This window comes from Homo sapiens, chromosome 13 (genome assembly GCF_000001405.40).
Source record: "Homo sapiens chromosome 13, GRCh38.p14 Primary Assembly".
NCBI classification, from domain to species: Eukaryota; Metazoa; Chordata; class Mammalia; order Primates; family Hominidae; genus Homo; species Homo sapiens.
The window spans coordinates 25,333,543-25,353,545 of record NC_000013.11 but is presented as its reverse complement, the minus strand read 5'-3'; the positions used below and the strand labels follow the sequence as shown (position 1 = coordinate 25,353,545).

Genomic DNA, 20,003 nt, shown 5'->3' with positions numbered 1-20,003 from the left:
CCATCTTAAAGCCAGCAAGGCACACTCCTTTGCCAGTGACGACCCATGATCATAAGATGTTTACAGCTAAAGGCTGGGCACGGTGGGTCACGCCTGTAATCCCAGCACTTTGGAAGGCCCAGGCAGGTAGATCACCGGAGGTCAGGAGTTTGAGACCAGCCTGGCCAACATGGTGAAATCCTGTCTCTACTAAAAATATAAAAATTAGCTGGGCATGGTGGCAAGTGCCTGTAATCCCAGCTGCTCAGGAGGCTGAGGCAAGAGAATTGCTTGAACCCAGGAGGCAAAGTTTGCAGTGAGCTGAGATCATGCCACTGCACTCCAGCCTGGGTGACAGAGCGAGACTCCGTCTCAAAAAAAAAAGAAAAAAAGATGTTTACAGCTAAGGAAGCAATTTAGGAATGCCTGCAAGGACAAACGACCATGACAGCAGAATGTCCAGATGTCCCAATATCGCATAACAATATATGCTTTTAAGATGTAGCCATGTGTTGATGTACTCATGCACTAAAATGCCAAAAATAACTTTCTTTAAATCAACAAAGTACTAAATTTTGTCATGCTGTCAGTCCACCCACACATAGACATAACTTAGCCTAGCTTTTACGTAGATAAGACCCTTATATAAGAAAAGTTTAATACAAAGATGGCACATTCCTCCTCTTGCCTTCTGAGGATACCCTACTCTGTATCTGAGTAGGTTTCAATAAACTATCTCTTCTCACTGCACTCTGCAACTCACCTTGAATTCTTTCCTGCACGAGATCCAGGAATCCTTTCTTGAGGTCTGGACCAAGACCCCTTTTCTGGCAACAAAATCACCCTCACTTCTCACCTGAATTGCAGGAATAGCCTCTCAACTCATGTCCTCATTCCTTCTTGCTGTGGTGTTTCCCAGCTTGGCTTCTAAATTCACAGTTTGTGGAAGATCGTTCTCTGTTGCAAAATGTTTAGCATCCCTGGTCCCCAGTCATTGTGGCAACCAGTACCCCCTCACACATGTGCACATACACGCACCTCCAACATCCTGTTAAGATGGGGCCAGATGTTACCTCTCCATACAAATCCTCCAAAAACAGGATCTCACAGTGAAAGCCAAAGTCCTTATCAAAGCCCACAAGGCTCTATGCAATCTGATGACATTTCATTTCTCTGTTTTCAAATGCTATTTTCTGGGCCTCTTTTCTCCTTATCTCTGCATGGCTTCCTCCCTTACGGCCATCTGTCTTTACTCAGTCACCATTTTCTCAGCAAGACTTTCTCTAGCTGCTTTATTTAAAATTTCAAGCTTCACCCCCAGCAGTCTCTATCCTTCTCTACTTTTTTTCTTTCCATAGTACTATCACCCCCTAACAGCCTACATATTTAACTTATTTATCTTATATATTGCCTATGTCCCCCAACTAGAATATATGTTCTAGTTGAATGTCCCCCAACTAGAGGGCTGGATTTTTTTTGTTTGTTTTGTTTTGTTTTAGACAGGGTCTCACTTTGTCACCCAGGCTGAAGTGTAGGAGTGTGATCTTGACTCACTGCAGCCTCGAATTCCTAGACTCAAGCGATCTTCCCACATCACCTTCCTGAGTAGCTGGGACTACAGGTGGGTGCCAACACTCCCGGCTTATTTTTGTATTTTTTGTAGAGACAGGCTTTCACCATGTTGCCCAGGCTGGTCTTGAACTCCTGAGTTCAAGTGATCCTCCAGCCTGGGCCTCCCAAAGTGCAGGGATTACAGGCGTGAGCCACTGCACCTGGCCTGGAATTTTTGTTTGATGTGTGCACTTACCTATTCCAACACTTTAAAAAATGTCTGACACATAATAGTTGCTCACAAATATTTGTTGGCTAATTGGATGAACACAGAAATGGTATATACATAAGAATGAGTTGCATAATATGCAAATGGACAATAAGTATGTGAATAAAGATGTTCAACATTAGTCATTAGGGAAATGCAAATCAAAAGCACAATGAGATACTACTTCATGCTCACTGGGATGGCTATTAGTAAAAAAGACAGACAATAAAGGATATGGAACCCTCCTACATTGCGGGTAAGAATGTAAAATGGTGCAGCAACTTTGGAAAAGTTTGGCAGTTCCTCAAAATATTAAATATAGAGTTACCATATGACTTAGCAACTCTGCTTCTAGGTATATACCCCAAGATAATTGGAATCATGCATTGACACAAAAATCTGTCCATGCATATTCACAGCAGTAATACTCAATAGCCAAAAAATGGAAACAGATGTTCATCGGCTGATGCATGGATAAATAAAATGTGTTATACCCACACAATCAAATATTATTTGACAGGCATGGTGGCTCATGCCTGTAATCCTAGCACTTTGGGAGGCTGAGGCGGGTGGATTGCCTGAGCTCAGGAGTTTGAGACCAGCCTGCGCAACGAGGTGAAACCCCGTCTTTACTAAAATACAAAAAATTAGCCAAGCGTGGTGGCGGGCGCCTGTAGTCCCAGCTACTTGAGAGGCTGAGGCAGGAGAATGGCATGAACCCATGAGGCGGAGATTGCAGTGAGCCGAGATCATGCTGTTGCACTCCAGCCTGGGTGACAGAGTGAGACTCCATCTCCAGAAAAAAAAAAGCCAAACAAAACAAAATTATTTGACAATAGAAAGGAATGAAGTACTACTCATATGTGCTACAACATGGATGGCCCTTGAAAACATTATGTGAAGTGAAAGAAGATGAAAAAAAGAAGTGAAAGAAGGTCACATTTATATAAACAAATCCAGAACAGGCTAGAGAGGCAGAGAGTAATGATTACCTAGGACTTAGGGTGGAATAAGGAGTGACAAAATGTTCTTATGGGTTTTTTTTGGGGGGGGTCGGGAGGGTGGTGAAAAAAATGTTCTAAAACTAGACTGTGGCCGGGCATGGTGGCTCATGCCTGTAATGCCAGCCCCTTGGGAGGCCAAAGTGGGATGATCATTAGAGGCCAGGAGTTCGAGACCAGCCTGGGCAACATAGAGAGACCCTATCTCAAAAAAAAAAAAAAAAAAAAAAAATTAACCAGGTATGGTGGCACATGGCTATAGTTCCAGCTACTTGGGAGGCAGATGCGGAAGGACTGCTTGAGCCCAGGAGATGGAGGCTGCAGTGAGCTATAATCACCCCACTGCACTCCAGCCTGGGTGACAGAGACTATCTCTAAAAAAAATTTTTTTTTTTGAGACAGAGTCTCGCTCTATCACCCAAGCTCGAGTGCAGTGGTGCAGTCTCGACTCACTGCAACCTCCGCCGCCAAATTCAAGCGATTCTTGTGCCTCAGCCTCCCGCGTACCTGGGATTACAGGTGCTGCCACCATGCCCGGCGAATTTTTGTATTTTTAGTAGAGTCGGGGTTTTGCCATGTTGCCCAGGCTGGTTTCGAACTTCTGAGCTCAGGCAATCTGAAAAAAATTTTTTTTTAATTAAAACTAGATTGTGATAATATTGTACAACTTTGTGAATACACTAAAAACTACTGAATTTTACTTCAAATGGGTGAACTGTAATGGTATGTGAATTATATTTCAATAAAATGTGTTTTTTTTTTTAAAAAGAGTGAGTTGCATAATTGGAACTTAGAAGTATTTAATTCACTATACTTGGTAAATTTTATTTTGCACCGACTTTTCCTACTCCGTGAGTTTTCCACCAGTGCCTTCTATACATTGAATTAGTGGTCTGCTTCCCAGTTCCTCTAAATACTCCGAGGATCTGGTATATGAGCCATTAGATTGTCCTTAAACACCAAAGGCAAGTTTTATTTCCTTAATTCTAAACATCTTGATCAAACCTACTCTAAGCTTAATGTGCTTTTCTTGAATAATGGGATTTACAAAATGAGAATTAGAAGTTCCTTAAAGGTAGATATTTGTTGATTCAAGGACTGCTCAGAACTGTATTTTTCTTCCTATTTCATTGGTTTCTGTAACACTGGGTTTTCGAAATTCAGTTAAAACCTGTGATTTGTTGCCTGAAAGAGAAAAATCGTTTAGACTGTATTATGACAATAGTTAATATTTATTGCATCTTAGCTTACACCAGGAATATATTTAAGCACCTTACGTAAGCTAAACCATTTTAATCTTCACAGTCAACCTATAAGATGGATTCTTATCTTCATTTTACTAATGAGGCACAAAGATGTTAAATAACTTGCCTAACTAGAGCTACCAAGTGATAAAGCTGAGATTCTAACCCTAGTAGCATGGTTCCAAGGCCTATATGGAGAAAGATCAACAGGGAGGGTCACTGAAGTAACCCTTTTCCCACTGCATTATTTAATTAATAAACATTAATAGAATCTGGTTAGACCGTAAGCAAAAATAAACCCAAACTAAGACAGGGCTCCTGTCCTGGGATTATGCAGCCTAATATGGGAGACAAAGATACCACCAAATAATAAAAATATAACTTGGTAAGCCTGTATTGGAAGCCTGTATTAACCAGAGTGAAGAGGTACAAACTAACTTTGTCGGGGGTAGTTAGAGAAGGATGAGGAAAGATGATGCTGAAGGGCTAACAGTTACTCCAGACAAAAGAAACAGCCCCTGGTGTGAAAGAGCATAGTGTTCGGGAATGGTCTTGGTGTGGGAAAGTGTCAGGAGGGACTGGTAAAAGTAGAGGCCAGACTATGAGGGGCTTTGTATGTTACGAAAAAGAGTTTGAAATAAAGAGCACCAATGAGTATCGGCTTGACATGACCCTGTTTGTGAAGATAACTGTAGGAGCTCTGATGATGAACAAGGGTAGACAAAGAAAGCAGGGATACCAAGTAGGAAAATGCTTTAACAATTGATATAAGAGGCAAAAAGAAGCAAATTAAATTATCTGTAATTTATTTCTCTTTTAGACATATAAGCCATATTTGCTCCCAGAACCACGGTCTGCACCGTCTACAGCAGCATAGTCTAACAGAAATATAATGCGATCCACATATATAACTTTAAATTTTATACTAGCCAGGTGTGATGGTGTGTGCCTGTAATCCTAGCTACTTGGGAGGCTAAGGTGGAAAGATTACTTATCCCAGGAGTTCAAGACCAGCCTGGGCAATGTAACAAGACCCTCCTATCTCAAAATAATAATAATACATTTTATACTAACCACATTAAAACAAGGAAACAAACATTTTGAAATATACTTATTTCAACATGTCATCAATACAAAATCATTAACAAAATATTTGGCATTTTTCATACTGTCTTCAAAATCCAGTGTGAATTTTATACCTAAAGAATTTTCAATTTGAATGCTAAATTTCCTTTGAAATTTAATTTGCATTTAGATTTTATAAATTTTACAATTGACAATGTAGACTCATATACTCAAGTTTTTCCAAACACACTTAAATGTCGCCCAATATTTGAATGGTGTGTCAGTTTTTAAATTTAAATAGATAAAAATTAAAGTTAAAAGTTCAGTTCCTCAATCACGCCCACCACACATGGCCAGTGGTTACCACTGTGGACAGTGCAGACTGCACTGCTTCTCAACCAAGGGAGAACGACTTGCCAGACACTCCCTTGTTGGATTATAATAGATATCCACAAAATATGTTTATTATCAGGATTTAAAAAGAATTTCTCGTTCTAAATCAACTGCAAGTAAAACATGGTATAGAGGAGTAGAAATTCTCGACACCAGAAGGAGTAAATGCTCAGCACATTATTGTTTTTTAAGTTACTAAAACAAGAGTATTGTTCTTTAGATCGATCCTTGTTTGGCTAATTGAGAAGATGTAAACAATGATTTGAAAGAATTTTTATTAATGCACCTATAAAAACATCTACAAAAACAAGCTCCATTATGGCCTTCTGTTAGCTGTATATGGAGTAGACTCCTAAAACACAGCCCCACTACAAAACACCTGAAAATAATGAGGGCAATTTTTAAAAACATCTTTTAGATGCATAGCTGAATTAGCCAAAAAGTAAATCCTTGGAAACCAAAAATGAAGTGAAAGTGTGAAAACGTTGGAGCACTGAGACTTGTGGTTGCTAACAAAGACATCGAGGTTATAACCCTGCTCAGGAGGCAAGCCGAGGCCCAGCAGCCTGTGGAGATTTACTTATTGTACCCTAGGTAAATTCTCCCCTTCTTCCTTACCAGTGCTGTTTTTAGCTGAGTGCAGGACACCTAGCAAAAGACATTCCCCAGACCTACTTGCAGCTATGTGACTAGGTGCTGGCCAATGTGGTATGAGCAGAAGTATGCAACTGCTGGCTCATACTCCTGAAAGGAAAGGTATTCTCTTCACTCATTCCTTCTTCCCATGAGCTGGAATGCAAATACAGGTTGAGAATCCCTAACTTGAAATGCTCCAAAATCTGAAACTTGAGTGCCAACATGAAGCCACAAATGGAAAATTCCACATCTGACCTCATGTGAAGGGTCAGTCAATACTACATTTCACACAAAAAATTATTTAAAATATTGTATAATATTACCCTCAGGCTATGTGTATAAAAAACATAAATGAATTTCATGTTTAAACTTGGATCCCATCCCCAAGATGTCATTATGTATATGAAAATATTCTAAAATCTGAAATACTTCTTGTCCCAAGCATTTGAGATAAGGGATACAAACCTCCTCTGGAGGGTGAAGTGTTAGTTGCTTTTTATTTTGAACCCCTTTATGTTGTTCAAATTTAACATTTTAAATACATGGTTCTTTAAACTTGTAAATACTTCATAAAATATAAACCATATTCATATTTATTCCTCAAAGCCACCTATTTTCTTGATTCCCTCAGGCCAAATTAATCTCCTCATATACTCGAGAATTTTTCTTGTATCTTTTTTTTTTTTTTTAGATGGAGTTTTGCTCTTGTTGCCCAGGCTGGAGTGCAATGGTGCGATCTCTGCTCACTGCAACCTCCGCCTCCTGGGTTCAAGCGATTCTCCTGCCTCAGCCTCCCGAGTAGCTGAGATTATAGGCATGTGCCACCACACCTGGCTAATTTTTGTATTTTTAGTAGAGACAGGGTTTCTCCATGTTGGTCAGGTTGGTCTTGAACTCCCGACCTCAGGTGATCTGCCCACCTCAGCCTCCCAAAGTGCTGGGATTACAGGCATGAGCACCACGCCTGGCCTTCTTGTATCCCTTTAACTTAAGAAAGCCCACTTTATATCATTAATTTATGTAAAGTTAAAAGCCTACATAGACTCTACATAGACTGCCTGGGTTTGAATTCTGGCCCATTCACTTGCTAGTTGAGTGGTGATATTATTTAACAACTGTGCCTGTTTTCTCACCTGTAAAAAAAAGGAACAACACTACCCAGCTCACGGGATTGAGGACTAAATGAGTTAACGTATGGCAGCTCATAAGAGTAGATCCTGGCCCCTGCTTAGCACTGTTAGCTATTGAGTATAGACAATATCCTACCCATATGTATTTATATTCCTAAATTCCCAGCAGTGGATCACACAAATTATTAAGGAATGTTTACTGAATTAAACTGACTTGCTTCCCGGGGGATTAAAAGAGGGGTGGTGATGACAAGAAAGGAGTTCTCCCCAAGTTAATTCTGCAGCACACTTGTCAGCAATGAAACCTTTGTAAGCCTGGTAGGTTTTTTGTTTCCATTAGCTGACAAATAGACTAGGTAGAAAAAACAAACACATTCTACTGAATGAATGGGAAAAAGGCAAAAACCATTCTGGGCCACAGTCAATTTTTCCATTAATCCCTACTCTCTCCTATGTATGTTGCGGCCTCTCATTCTTGCCTGTCTCCCTGGTTCTCTTGAGCTTTTTAAAGGGCCAGTTGATCTGTACCAGCAAGTCTCACTTGGTCTGAGCATGTGGTGCTCTTTTGAGTCACAGGGGTCATACAAGCCTTCCAGGAAGGGTTTTCTTGTTAAACTTCTCTTTGACAGTTCCTAAAATTCAAATAGTCAAAATGGCTCTGCTTACCTTTTCCAAGGTGGACAGACCCCCCCCCACCGCCCCCATCATCCAGTTGCTGGGATGATGCTTTTCTCCATAAACCTCTTCATAGGGAACCAGCAAGAAAAGGTCAAAGATGGACTGCACAAGTCCGGCTCTTGCTTCTTTATAACGCTCTTTACACCACAGATAGTATTCCCTCTCCTTTTAAATCACATAGACCTAGGTACTTACCTTACTTTGCCCTGATCTATCACATACTTGTAGTTTCCCCCATATGAACTGTGTAATCACATTACCTTCAGTGCCTTTCAGTTAGTCATGAAAATCAGCACGCTATTCCTTGATCAGAGACAGGCAGTAAAATATTGTGCTTTGGAATTAAACAGGTCTGGGTTTAAAACCCAGCCCTATGACTTAGCTATGCGACCTCAAGTAAGTTGCTTAACCTTAGCCTCAGTTCCTTCATCTATAAATTGGGTATTTCTGCTTTACACAGTAATATTCAGACTAAACATGGTCAAGTATATAAAATGCTGAGTGGTACCCAGGACAGACTATGCACCCAATAAATGGGGATGTGATGTAAGAGGCAAAGAGGACTTTGTGCATGAGATTTAAGTTAGGTATGCCAACTCAAGACTTCCCAGGACACTGGCTCATGTTAGCAAGGCCCAGAATCCTGTGACTGAATAAGCCTGTCTTGGTGTGTGCTTCAAAAAGTGTGGCAAAGTCAGCCTTATTCACAGAAAAGGTAGGACATTAACTCGGATTTACTATATTATCATCAGAAAGGACAGGAAATAACTGGTTGTAATAATGTAAATGACCTCATACCTACTACAGGATAAAAATTTGCACTCAATTCAAATCAAGATGGTTAGTAAAAATAATCAAACAAGAATCTAATAAAAACTTTGTTAAAAGAACAAAAGACCCAACAGATGCATGTATCATGCTGTGCTTATTGTTGTCAATTTCCCCCAGGACGTATTTTGTGTAAATCCAATAAAAATCTCAGAATTTTTAAAGAAAAATCAAACTCAATAAAATAGACACTAAAGTTCATCTTAAAGACTAAGTGTCCTAGAATAGCCTCCCCACACAAAAACAAACAAAAAGGCTAAGATAAAGCAGCTTCCTATCAGGTATACAAATAAAGCATCCGGCTACAATGATTAAGGCAGTGGGGTATTGGTGCAGGAAGACCTAATGCTTCTCAGGTGTCAGGGGTTACACTATCCAAATGCTTTAGATTATATTATTAGTATAACCACCCATGTATATCATCCTTATTTTCTAGAGGATAAAGCTGAAGTCTAGAAGTTACATAACTTGCTTAAAATCACACATGGTCAAGGCGGGATTCTGAACACAGCTGACTAGACATATCTCTCAGGAAAAATATTAATACCTATTATCTACAGAGGTCCTACAAATCATTAAGAAAAAACCCTAATTTGGTATAAAAATTGCCAAAGGATATAATAAGCAATTACATTAACATACAAATAGCTGATACATATTAAAAAGGTTGACCTCACAAAGACTTATAATTAGGATTACAATTAACTGGGATCACAAAGAATACTAGGAAATGGATATACATGCTGGTAGGAGTATATATTTGTATAGCATTTTGGGAAGGCAATGTGACATTAAAACACACAATTTATATGACTTTTCAGCAATTTATTTCCAGAATCAACCCCGAAGAAACTGAAATAGTCAAATGAACCTAACCATCCAGAGAATAGTTGGTGTGGGGTGTGTGTGTGTATGTATGTGTGTGTGTGCGTATATATATATGTGTATATATATATATATATATATACATATATATGTGGAATACTACACAGCCACTAAAAAGGAATGGATGAATTGGCTGGGCATGGTAGCTCACGCCTATAATCTCAGCACTTTGGGAGGCCGAGGCGGGCAGATTACCTGAGGTCAGGAGTTTGAGACCAGGCTGGCCAACATGGTAAAATACATCTCTACTTAAATCTCTACTAAAAATACAAAAATTAGCCAGGCGTAATCATGCCTGCAATCCCAGCTACTCCAGAGGCTGAGGGAGAACTGCTTGAACCCAGGAGGCAGAGGCTGCAGTGAGCCGAGATGGCATCAGCCTGGGCGACAAGAGTGAAACTCCATCTCAAAAAAAAAAAAAGGAATGAATTAATGGCATTTGCAGCCTGGATGGGATTGGGAGACTATTACTCTGAGAAGAAACTGCACATGTATACATATGTAACTACCCTGCACATTGTGCACATGTACCCTAAAACTTAAAGTATAATAATAATAAATTTAAATAAATAAATAAAAATTTAAAAAAAGAGAAGAAACTCAGGAATGGAAAACCAAACATCCTATGTTCTCTAAGTGGGAGCTAAGCTATGAGGATACAAAGGCATTAAGAATGATACAATGGACTATGGGAACTTAAGAGGGGAAGGGGTGGGAAGAGGGTGAGGGATAAAAGGCTACAAACTGGGTCAGCGCCTACTGCTCAGGTGATGGGTGTACCAAAATCTCACAAATCACCACTAAAGAACTTACTCATGCAACCAAATACCACCTGTTCACCAATAATCTATGGAAATAAAAAAAATTTTAAAAAATTACATTTCCTAAAAAAACCACACAGTAGTTGAAACAGATCATTGTACACCCATTCTATGGGACAGTATGTAAAAAGTAAATCTATATAGACACAGAAAGATGCTGATGATATACTAATAGAAGGGAAAAAGAACAAGTCCAGAACACAAACTTTTTAACCTATTTGTTAAAAAAGTAAAGAGGGATCCAAGAGAATAAAATGTGATAAAAAATCAGAGAGAATATAAAAGAAAAAGAAAAGAGAAGTAACATTTATATATTCTTTTAAGACATATTTAAAAGGGTCTACAAGGATACATATCAAACCATCAGACTGCACACTAGGAAATGGAAGGGAATTAGGGCCCAAAAGTTCAAAGGGATTTTTCCTTTTTTACTCAATATTATTCTTTATAACTAAAAATGTTCACTGTTTTTGTCATTTTGAGAAGACAAAAGCAAGTGAGAAATAATTTACTATCTTATGTTCACTCTTCTGTTTAAAAAAGAGCAAGATGTATAAACCAATGAAGGGAATATACTAAAACCCAACCGGAGACTAAAAGAGCAATAATAAAATTACATATTAAGAACAGCTACTGACACCTATAAAGAATCAAAGCAACTGACACAATAAATTTTATTGTTTCCATAATAATAGGCTCTGGACAAAGACAATGGAGACAATGACAACACATTTAAACTCCTATAACAAATTAATCTGTTACAAATTTCCAGTGGCTCAACATATTAAAATGCAAAACATATAAAGAAAAAAACAAGAAATATAAATATTCAGATTTTTGCAGTACAATGAAATGTCTTTTAAAAAAAGTTTGTTGTAATTGTGTATGTAATTCTGACAGTAATTCAAAACACAAAATCACACATTTTCCCTAACTTCCCATGTTCTGGATCTGGGGACTGCAATATTACAGAAATATGCAAAAATAAGTTTAGTGCTCAGAGATAAATAATTTTCCTTATTTCAATGCATCAATGCGCAAAAATTTCAATTCAAAAAAGCCAACCACTGCTATATGCAGATAAATAAAACATTTGACAACACTTTTATAATCAAACCCAACATTATACAAAAAATGTGTGGCACATGCACATACGTGTGCATATGTGTATGCAATGCCTATTTTAGAAAAAAGGTGTCTTGATGAAAATGATTTTGAAAATAGTCACTGACACACATTATATACAAAACCTTTTATATAAAAAATTAAACTATTTTCAATGAAATTCCATGTTCACATCCTATCTGAAAATTGCAATTGAATCATAAATAGGTCTACTAACGAAATCATGGCTAAGGCAGTTCTCTTTCCAAGGGTTTTCTTTTATATCCACCTGATGTCACTAATACTAATGTAGTCAAATATACAGATGCAACCTGACATGCCTATGCGTTATTACCTGGAGCTCTGTTCACTGTTATAATGGGAGAATTTACAGTTGCTACAAAGAATATTTTTCTTTTTTAAAATATACTGGTTTCTCTATTCCAAATTAAGCACTTACTTAAGACATTAAGAGGCTGAGAAGCCACTCCATTTGGTGTCAATATCAATAGCCCTATAAGAAAGAACTCTGTATTGGAATAGCTAGAAAAGTTCTCACTAAAGTGAGAACTTTAGTGCATCCTTCACCTGCATAGAATCAGTTTGGCTAATAGCTCTTTGCCCCAGAACACCAGTCTGGAGTTCAAATAGGCTCCTGAAAGTTCATCTCAGATAAGAAAAAAACATCTCACAGAAGCAATGTAAGGACACACAGGATAATAAAATGGTTAAAATCTGTTTGATGAGTCTTACTTACAGCATTCCTCATTTGGAGGAGCTGCTATAGGTTAAGGTGGAAACAAAAATGGAAAAGATCAGGGGCAATAAAGTTGAGTTGGCCAAGTATTTACGCCAGTAACCATTTCAATAAGTCTTTAAGCAAACAACTGCAATGACCTGGTACCTCTAAGCTCATCATTCTACAAGCACTGAGGATATGAAGCTTAAAAGGTGAAAACTTGAATACCCTTAGAAAAGGGGAACAGTCTGAGGCAAAAGTTGTAGGCCTGTAAATATATATTTTATTTTATTTTCATCTTTTTTGAGACGGAGTTTTGCTCTTGTTGCCCAGGCTGGAGTGCAGTGGTGTGATCTCGGCTCACTGCAACCCCCACCTCCCGGCTTCAAGTGATTCTCGTGCCTCAGCCTCCCGAGTAGCTGGGATTATAGGTACCCGCCACTATGCCCAGCTAATTTTTGTATTTTTCGTAGAGATGGGGTTTCACCATGTCAGGCTGGTCTCAAACTCCTGACCTCAGGTGATCCGCCTGCCTCGGCCTCCCAAAGTGCTGGGATTACAGGCGTGAGCCACCACGCCTGGCGTAAATATGTATTTTATATGCACACACAACTGTGTGTATTATTCTGTATATATTTACATACATATTCACAAGATGCCCTGCAGTATAATTCAAAAGGCCTTTAACAAGGAACAAATTGATTCTAGTATAGGCCCTAGAGTTCACACCACCTGTATAAGAAACAAATGTGCATGTATTCACATAATGTAAACCTCATCAACAAAAACACTAGGTTAAATAGTAAGTTTTAGGTTAATGGTTTCTAACCATTACCAATCAGTGATGTAATCAGAACATTTCTTACACTGAGAATCAAATTAAAAAGAAAACACAGCTGGACTTTAAATTCCACAAGAAAAAAGATGTTCAGTATGGCAAACATGAAGAAAGTTCAAATTCCAGAGTAGGGAAAAATATCAAAACTTTATAAATCTCCTGGGATGCAATTTAATTACTGCATCATTAGAAAAATAGACTCATAGAATGAACGGTGCTGCTATGGATTCTCTCAACACATCAACCCATGTTTATCTTTTTCCTCTTTTGTTTCCAGCTGGAGGTTTCTTCAACTGAAGGAGTTGTCCTCCTGTTCCAAAACCTGCAGAGGCAGGATTGGACACCCCAAAAGTCAAACCAGCTGATGCCGTGATGCCAGGATTGCTGAAGTTAAACCCAGATGTACTTGAGCTGCCAAAGCCTTATGTTTAGGGAAAAAAATATTCATATCAGAAGTTGAATTCCAAAAACAAATATAAAAACAGGGAGGAGCAGTAAATTTCTATCTAAAAGAATACATAATCTGTAAGAATAGCAAATATATTAAAGCCCTAAATTTCTAACATGAAATTTTAACAGGAAAATAATATAGCTAACAACTAAGTGGCACCCTGAAAGAGAGTGTAGTGATGCAGGTCAAAAGAGAAACCTTAGCACAAATTACTAAAATCTATATAAACTTCAAGTTGCCAGAAACTTTCCTGTTAATTAAATATGTCAAGGTGCCTTCCTCCTTAGACCCACCAAAAACATTTTATCAACATGTAGAAGAGAGACATTCACATATCTGGACCTACCCTTGCAATCCCAAGTCCTCCAGGAAAGCTTCAACCCACAATGTTCAAGACAATGAACAAACAAAAGAGCAGTACTTACTGTTTTGATTTTATAAGAGCTTTTGCAAAATTAAGATCTAGTACTACTACTGCCTAGTTAACTAATACAATATTTCAATTATAATCCTGATAACATGGAATCCTATTATTATCTTCCTCCACTGGAACTGCTGATTTTAAACGCTACTTAATTCCTTCAAATTCTCTAAATTTAAACACATCTTTCACAGTATTATGTCATTACATTAGATATGGTATTTGTCCCTAAGCACTGCACATTAAAACAAGCCATATTTACCAATATAAATGCAAAAGTAGATGAAATTTGGAATTTTTCATAAGAAGAGTCAAAAAATTATACCTATTTCAAAAATGAACAAGAAACTAAATTAATAATCATTTGTAAGACTGTGGTATTCTTAAAACCAGAGGGACCCTGGAATAGAAATCATTCTCCAGGATGAATTATGACAAAAAACTTAAACTTTCACAATGATGGGTTCCTTTTTGTAATAATGAAGAAAATTATTTAACCATGAAGTTAGTCACTAGAGTTCAAATGAATCTCTGAGTTAGAAGATGTAATTAATTATTAAATCAAACTAAGAAGTCTTGTTAGAAGTATTTTACAAACCTGCCCTTTAGTTTATGAGAGAGATAAAGTAAAATGATTAGTTAGGCTTGCACACTTCATCCAGGGAGTAAAAACTGAATCAGGGAGGGAACTTTTTGGGTTACTGGAAATAACAACACATACTTTTAAATTAAATAATTTACACCTTTAAATTTGCCTGAAATCCAGGCAGAAACACACAAACCTGCACTAAGACTTCCTGAGGGTTTATTTGTTGTTCCAAATCCAAATGTGGAGGCCCCTGTGGTGCTGCATCCAAAACCAGAGCTAGTTCCAAATCCTAGTGGAAGGGTAATAGAAAAATATACAATGGCACATAAAACACAGGTTAAAGGATATGGACAAGTACAACCGAAAATCATCAGAGGTCTAACAGATACAGTGCTGAAAAACATGGCCTTATTAAGGAAATCTGCTTACTCCTTTGCATGAGACTTTTAGAAGAACTAGACTAATTCTGAAATAAAACGTTTATATCTATTTAGACTAAGTTTGTGACCCATCAATTTTTAAAGAACAAGGCCATAAAAAAGAAATTAGTATTTTCTCTTCTAAATGTGCTAGAAAATTTTACCCACCATTCAAGTATGATTTTAGTCAGTTATAACCATTTCCACTTTAGGGGTATTTCATTTCACAAAAAAAGGACTAAATACATTAATAAGCATGACATGCACTACAATGTAAACACTAAATACTACAAGGTTATTTTACTCTGCTCTTTCCCAAAACATTTTTAATTAAGAATCTGAAACGCTGAAAAACTCTGCATAACTACATAATCAAGCACTTTAAATCTACTCAGTAACAGTAGATTCCTGCCATACTACCAGCCAGTTTAACAGTGAAAAATTGGTGGTGAGAAGATCATGGTTTTTCTCTTAACAATACTATCTTCATCATTTAAAAAAAGAAGTATTTTTCATCACACAAAGTTCATGACATTCTAAGTACTTGAAGACTAGTTTCCACTCTCCTAAGAGACAGGTGCTCTACAAATAAAGTTCAAATTCTTTTTTGGTTATTTTGCAATAGCTTATCTAAAATACTGAGTGTGACAGTATCATTGCCTGTAACAATAAGAAATGTGATGGCAAATTAATTATAGATTATAGGAATTATGCTATCTGCCAGATTCTAATAATTCCTAATTTAGAACAGAGTCTATATTAAACAACCGTAATAGCTTATAGGTCTCCCGTCTTATATTTTAGTGGAAATAAGGGCAACTTATTCATTACATTATAATGTGCCTGTGAAAATACAACCAACTTTCAGTTATCCATATCAAAGAATTGTGAATGCATTTGTATTTAGCATGATGTTTTTGCAGAGGACTTACCTTACTAACCTTATGAAAGTATTAAAATAAGCTTAATTGCTTATGTAAACAAGCATGTATATAGGCAAATTTGCCAAATGTGCTTAGAAATGGACATGAGTTGAGCTGTTCAATTCATAATAATTTCCCTAAGTACTCATTTTCAGAAAAAAGAAGATACTGATTAGGAGAATGTATATCATCCAGAAGTAGTTCAGACTCCAAACTAACATTAAGACTATTAATTTTAAGATTTTTAATTAAGATGATTAAAACTAAAGAATTCTCAAGTTCATGTGTCAGCATATTGCTTTGAAAACATGAACATGCCTACCACTTAATTTTAATACTTTATATTTGCTGTTCACAGAAGATGGAATGATTCTTTAAGTTCTAAATCTAATATTAGAAAGCAATAATTATGTTTGAGAATCATTTTTGCCAGATGGAACCTTAACTTCCAAAATAGCAGGAGATTCTCTTAGAAATTTTTTTTTACAGGCTAGTATCAATTCAAATATATAATAGTTCAATGAAATATTAGAAAAGTTAAAGTGTACCTCCAAGGTTTGAAGAACCTAAGCCACTTGATTGCAAGCCAGTGCCAATACCTGAGCCGAATGGCGTTCCAAAACTAACTCCCAGAGATGGCTGTGGCCCTGGTATAAAAAAAAAAAAAAAATGGGGGGGAAAAAAAACAAATTTGCCTTACTCTTTCAAGATTAAAGATTCTTTATGAAATTATTTTTAAAATGAACAGTGATTACTTTTAACTGATTCCATTTGTTAAAACTTAGTTTTCAGGATGTCTCTCCAGTCTAACTTACCTATCCAAACTGATTTATCTATCTAAAAATTAAAAAAAGATTTTAAAAAAATTAACCTGTTCAGAACTAGACAATTAAAAGAGGCTTACCGCAATGAAAGACGTTAGTTTAATCTACTAAATAATTTGAAATCTTTAATGTATCATAAATTATCATTCCTTTAGATTTACTTCTAGAATTATTTTAGATCTCCTCACTTGTTTTCTGATAAAACTAGTTGGTATAATCAGTAAATGGTTTTTACTTTTTTTAATCGAGCTCCTTAGTGTTAGAGTCAAGTCTCAATTGATCAAGAGAGACTGACACTAACATGGCAAAACTATCATGTTATTTCATAAGAGTAAGTACCCAAAAAACTAGGCATGATTTCTCATATGAAATATAAATGATATATACAATAAGTAGATAAAAAACAAGACAATGTTTTATTTTATTAAATTTATTGTTCATTGTAAAGCAAATCAATTACACAGTAACATGACAATTCCAACTTGTTCACAAAAAGTGATAATTGAGTTCTATTCTTAAGCTCTGCTACATTACACCACTTATCACCTGATTAAATAAAGTAATGAACATTTACAAAGGCACCGCTGTGTACCTTGACAGATTCAATACATTCAAGATTTCAATTCAGAAGTTTCTTTCCAACGTTTTGGAAAATGTACTCAGAAGCAGAACGATTAGTCATCCTTTTCCCTCTTGTTACTTTAAAGATTTTGGCTGAGTTTGTTTGGCAAGAATAGCATCAAACTTACTAGCCTCTCTTTTAAACTACTATTTTTTTTTTTTAAAACTAAGCAGAATACAAAAATCTAAAAATCTCTCATTTGGATAAATAATTTATGAAAATTATTCAATAAACTTCATAGTACAATCTTCAGTATTGTCTTTTTCAAGCACAGTGATCAGTGCATCTCAAAGATGAGGGAACTGTCAAAGTAATATACACACTAAAATTTAAATTTTTAAAGAAATCAAAGCCTTCAAGTTATCCAATGAAGAATGAGGTTTGTATATTAAAAAGGTAGTGTAAAATTATAAAGCATTTAAAGAAAAACAACCGAGGAACTACATTTTGCTACACTGGGACAGAAACTGGACTTTTCGAATAGCTTCTAACCCAGAAAACAAACAATAACTAATAGCAGCCAGAATTCTTATACTACTATTAAAAAAATAATTTAAAATTTTACATCCAGTTTGAGATCACTTTGAGAATAAAATACCTGCCTAGCAGCTCTTTTGTAAAATGTTACTATAGGAAAAAGAAACCAAGCATATTATTATACTTTCTGATTCCTAACAAAAAACATAAAAAACACATGTCCAGTTCTTTAACATTGAGAGACTTGTTTGTCACAGGTTAATAGGAGGCACTGCTGGTGGAAGACCCTAAAGAATAATGCACACCACAGCCCTCAGCCTTGTAAGTCGTAAGAGTTACTCAAATAGCATGCTTTTTGTTGTGTGTGGGTCTGTTGTTAAGAGCAACAGAACATAAGATTTTTCTAATCATCAATATTCAGAATATAATCAAGAACTCATATCTAATGATGACAAGACTTTCCATTGCACATCAGATACATGATATTTTTAGTTTTGTACCTTCACACAAATTCTGAAGGCAACATCATTTATAAAACTCGTAGGCAAATGTATAACATTTTTTAATAGTAAAAACTCATGATAAATATCTCCCATGCCAAAGTATTAGCATATATTACACTCTGGCCACCATATATATTAGTTTCACTATTAGAAAGCAGTCTAAATCCTTCAGGCAAAAGTTACGTAAACAATTCAAGAAGTCTGCTTTGAAATTTGAATAGTCATCCAATGAGAGGTTCTTATTTCCATAAATAAAATTAAGTTTGTAGTGATATATACCAATGACTGGCCAAAGTGAAATCTTCATGTAGAGTAACATTTTACAAAAGTTACCATATAATATATTCACACACAACAAAACCAGGTTTAGCGCTGTAATTCATATTTTCCAGAATAAATTTTACTTTCTTAAAAGTAAAACTGCATTAACAGAAAAAGGACTAAAGTGCTAAAAATATTTTATAATTTTCCATGATCACCCCAAATGCCTAATGTAATTAGTATGGTTATTTCTAAGTCACATTTTAAAATAATTTTTCTTTAAAAAACCTAAAATGCGTTTTCCCCAGTTTGAAAAATTTTACTCTTACTGATTTAATGGGGAATGTTCCTTTGGTTATTAAATACAACAAAATCACAAAACCACAAGAAACTAAGATGAAATACTTAATGTTTCCTATTTAACACTACACCTTAAATGTCCAAACCTACACTAAGCTAAAAATTAGGAATTCCTAACAAAACGTCTTGGCTCTCCTTAAAACAGCAGCTAAGTCACATAAGAAAGTCTTATTATGTAAACATCAAGAACTCTTAAAGTGTCAAAACACAATAGCAAAACTCAATCCCAGATACATTGCTAAAAAACCTATCCTAAATTAAAATTATACTGAAAAGCCTAATGTAAATGTCTTCAGTTTTTCAGGAGGCTTGGGAAGCACTTATAGACAAGTGTCAAGTTCTGCCAACATGGAACTACGTTATCCACGTTATCGATGCTCATGATTTCATACACAAATAGCCTGCTGGATTTTCAATTCTCTGCAGCCTTCAGAACAAATAACTGTAAATCACACATGCCTAAGCCCTAGTATACTTTTTCATTAAAAAAAAAATTGAAGGAGGACAAAGAAGTCGTTTAAGTCTATTCCTCCTCCTCTGAGAAAGATACAGAAGCCACCTTCAGAAGGCAGCAGTCTAAGAAGCTATTTGCTCTGTGCCCATATTCATGTTAATAAAAATTTCATATGCAAATAAAAGCAAAACCCTTCTGATAACTCAAATCTTGTATAGATCAACAGTGATGTATAAAAACAATGCATAAGCTCTCTCTACCCTCATCTAGATGGTCTAAAATTTGTTACTGGCACTTAAAAACAAAGATTTCACAGAAGTCACAGGGCATAAGGGATAACTTATGGGGTACAAAACACCATTTGATAAATAGGGACATTTCTAAATGTATCTAACAGAGCTCAGAAATCTCACATCATGGTGACATGACTAAAAATAACGAAAATTTTGACTGGGAAGGCCTGGGAGACCTTTAGAGAAACAAAAGGAGAAAGAAAAGATAATGTAAAATTGTTATCACTGTTGTTTAGCTTCTCAGTT

General features: G+C 36.3%; 1 protein-coding gene across 9 annotated transcripts in view, besides 2 other annotated features; it reads right to left on the bottom strand.

Annotated features, from left to right (window-relative positions):
• Nucleotides 796–1,409: a transcriptional cis regulatory region, noted in NCBI's record as "candidate enhancer chr13.188 targeted for multiplex CRISPR interference". NCBI's record gives its function as "positively regulates NUP58 gene expression with high confidence in K562 cells {active_cell/tissue: K562}" and the evidence as "EXISTENCE:mutant phenotype evidence [ECO:0000015][PMID:30612741]".
• Nucleotides 3,746–20,003, bottom strand: part of NUP58 (nucleoporin 58) — a 48,176-nt gene continuing 31,918 nt past the window's right edge. For 6 of the 9 annotated variants that reach the window (XM_047430805.1, XM_047430806.1, XM_047430807.1 and 3 more), the window contains 3 exons: nucleotides 16,512–16,610; nucleotides 14,815–14,910; nucleotides 11,125–13,581 (listed from right to left, as the gene is read on the bottom strand). In XM_047430805.1, coding sequence (XP_047286761.1) covers nucleotides 13,412–13,581; nucleotides 14,815–14,910; nucleotides 16,512–16,610 — 365 coding nt within the window. In that variant the 3' untranslated portion in view covers nucleotides 11,125–13,411. Of the gene's footprint in view, nucleotides 3,985–11,124; nucleotides 13,582–14,814; nucleotides 14,911–16,511; nucleotides 16,611–20,003 lie in introns of those variants that run through there. The other 3 variants (NM_001411002.1, XM_047430804.1, NM_001411001.1) reach the window with 2 other exon arrangements.
• Nucleotides 13,935–14,104: an enhancer, noted in NCBI's record as "experimental_32788 CRE fragment used in MPRA reporter constructs". NCBI's record gives its function as "activates a minimal promoter by MPRAs in K562 erythroleukemia cells, with activity observed for both the introgressed and non-introgressed 13:25913665 variant alleles {active_cell/tissue: K562}" and the evidence as "EXISTENCE:reporter gene assay evidence [ECO:0000049][PMID:34662402]".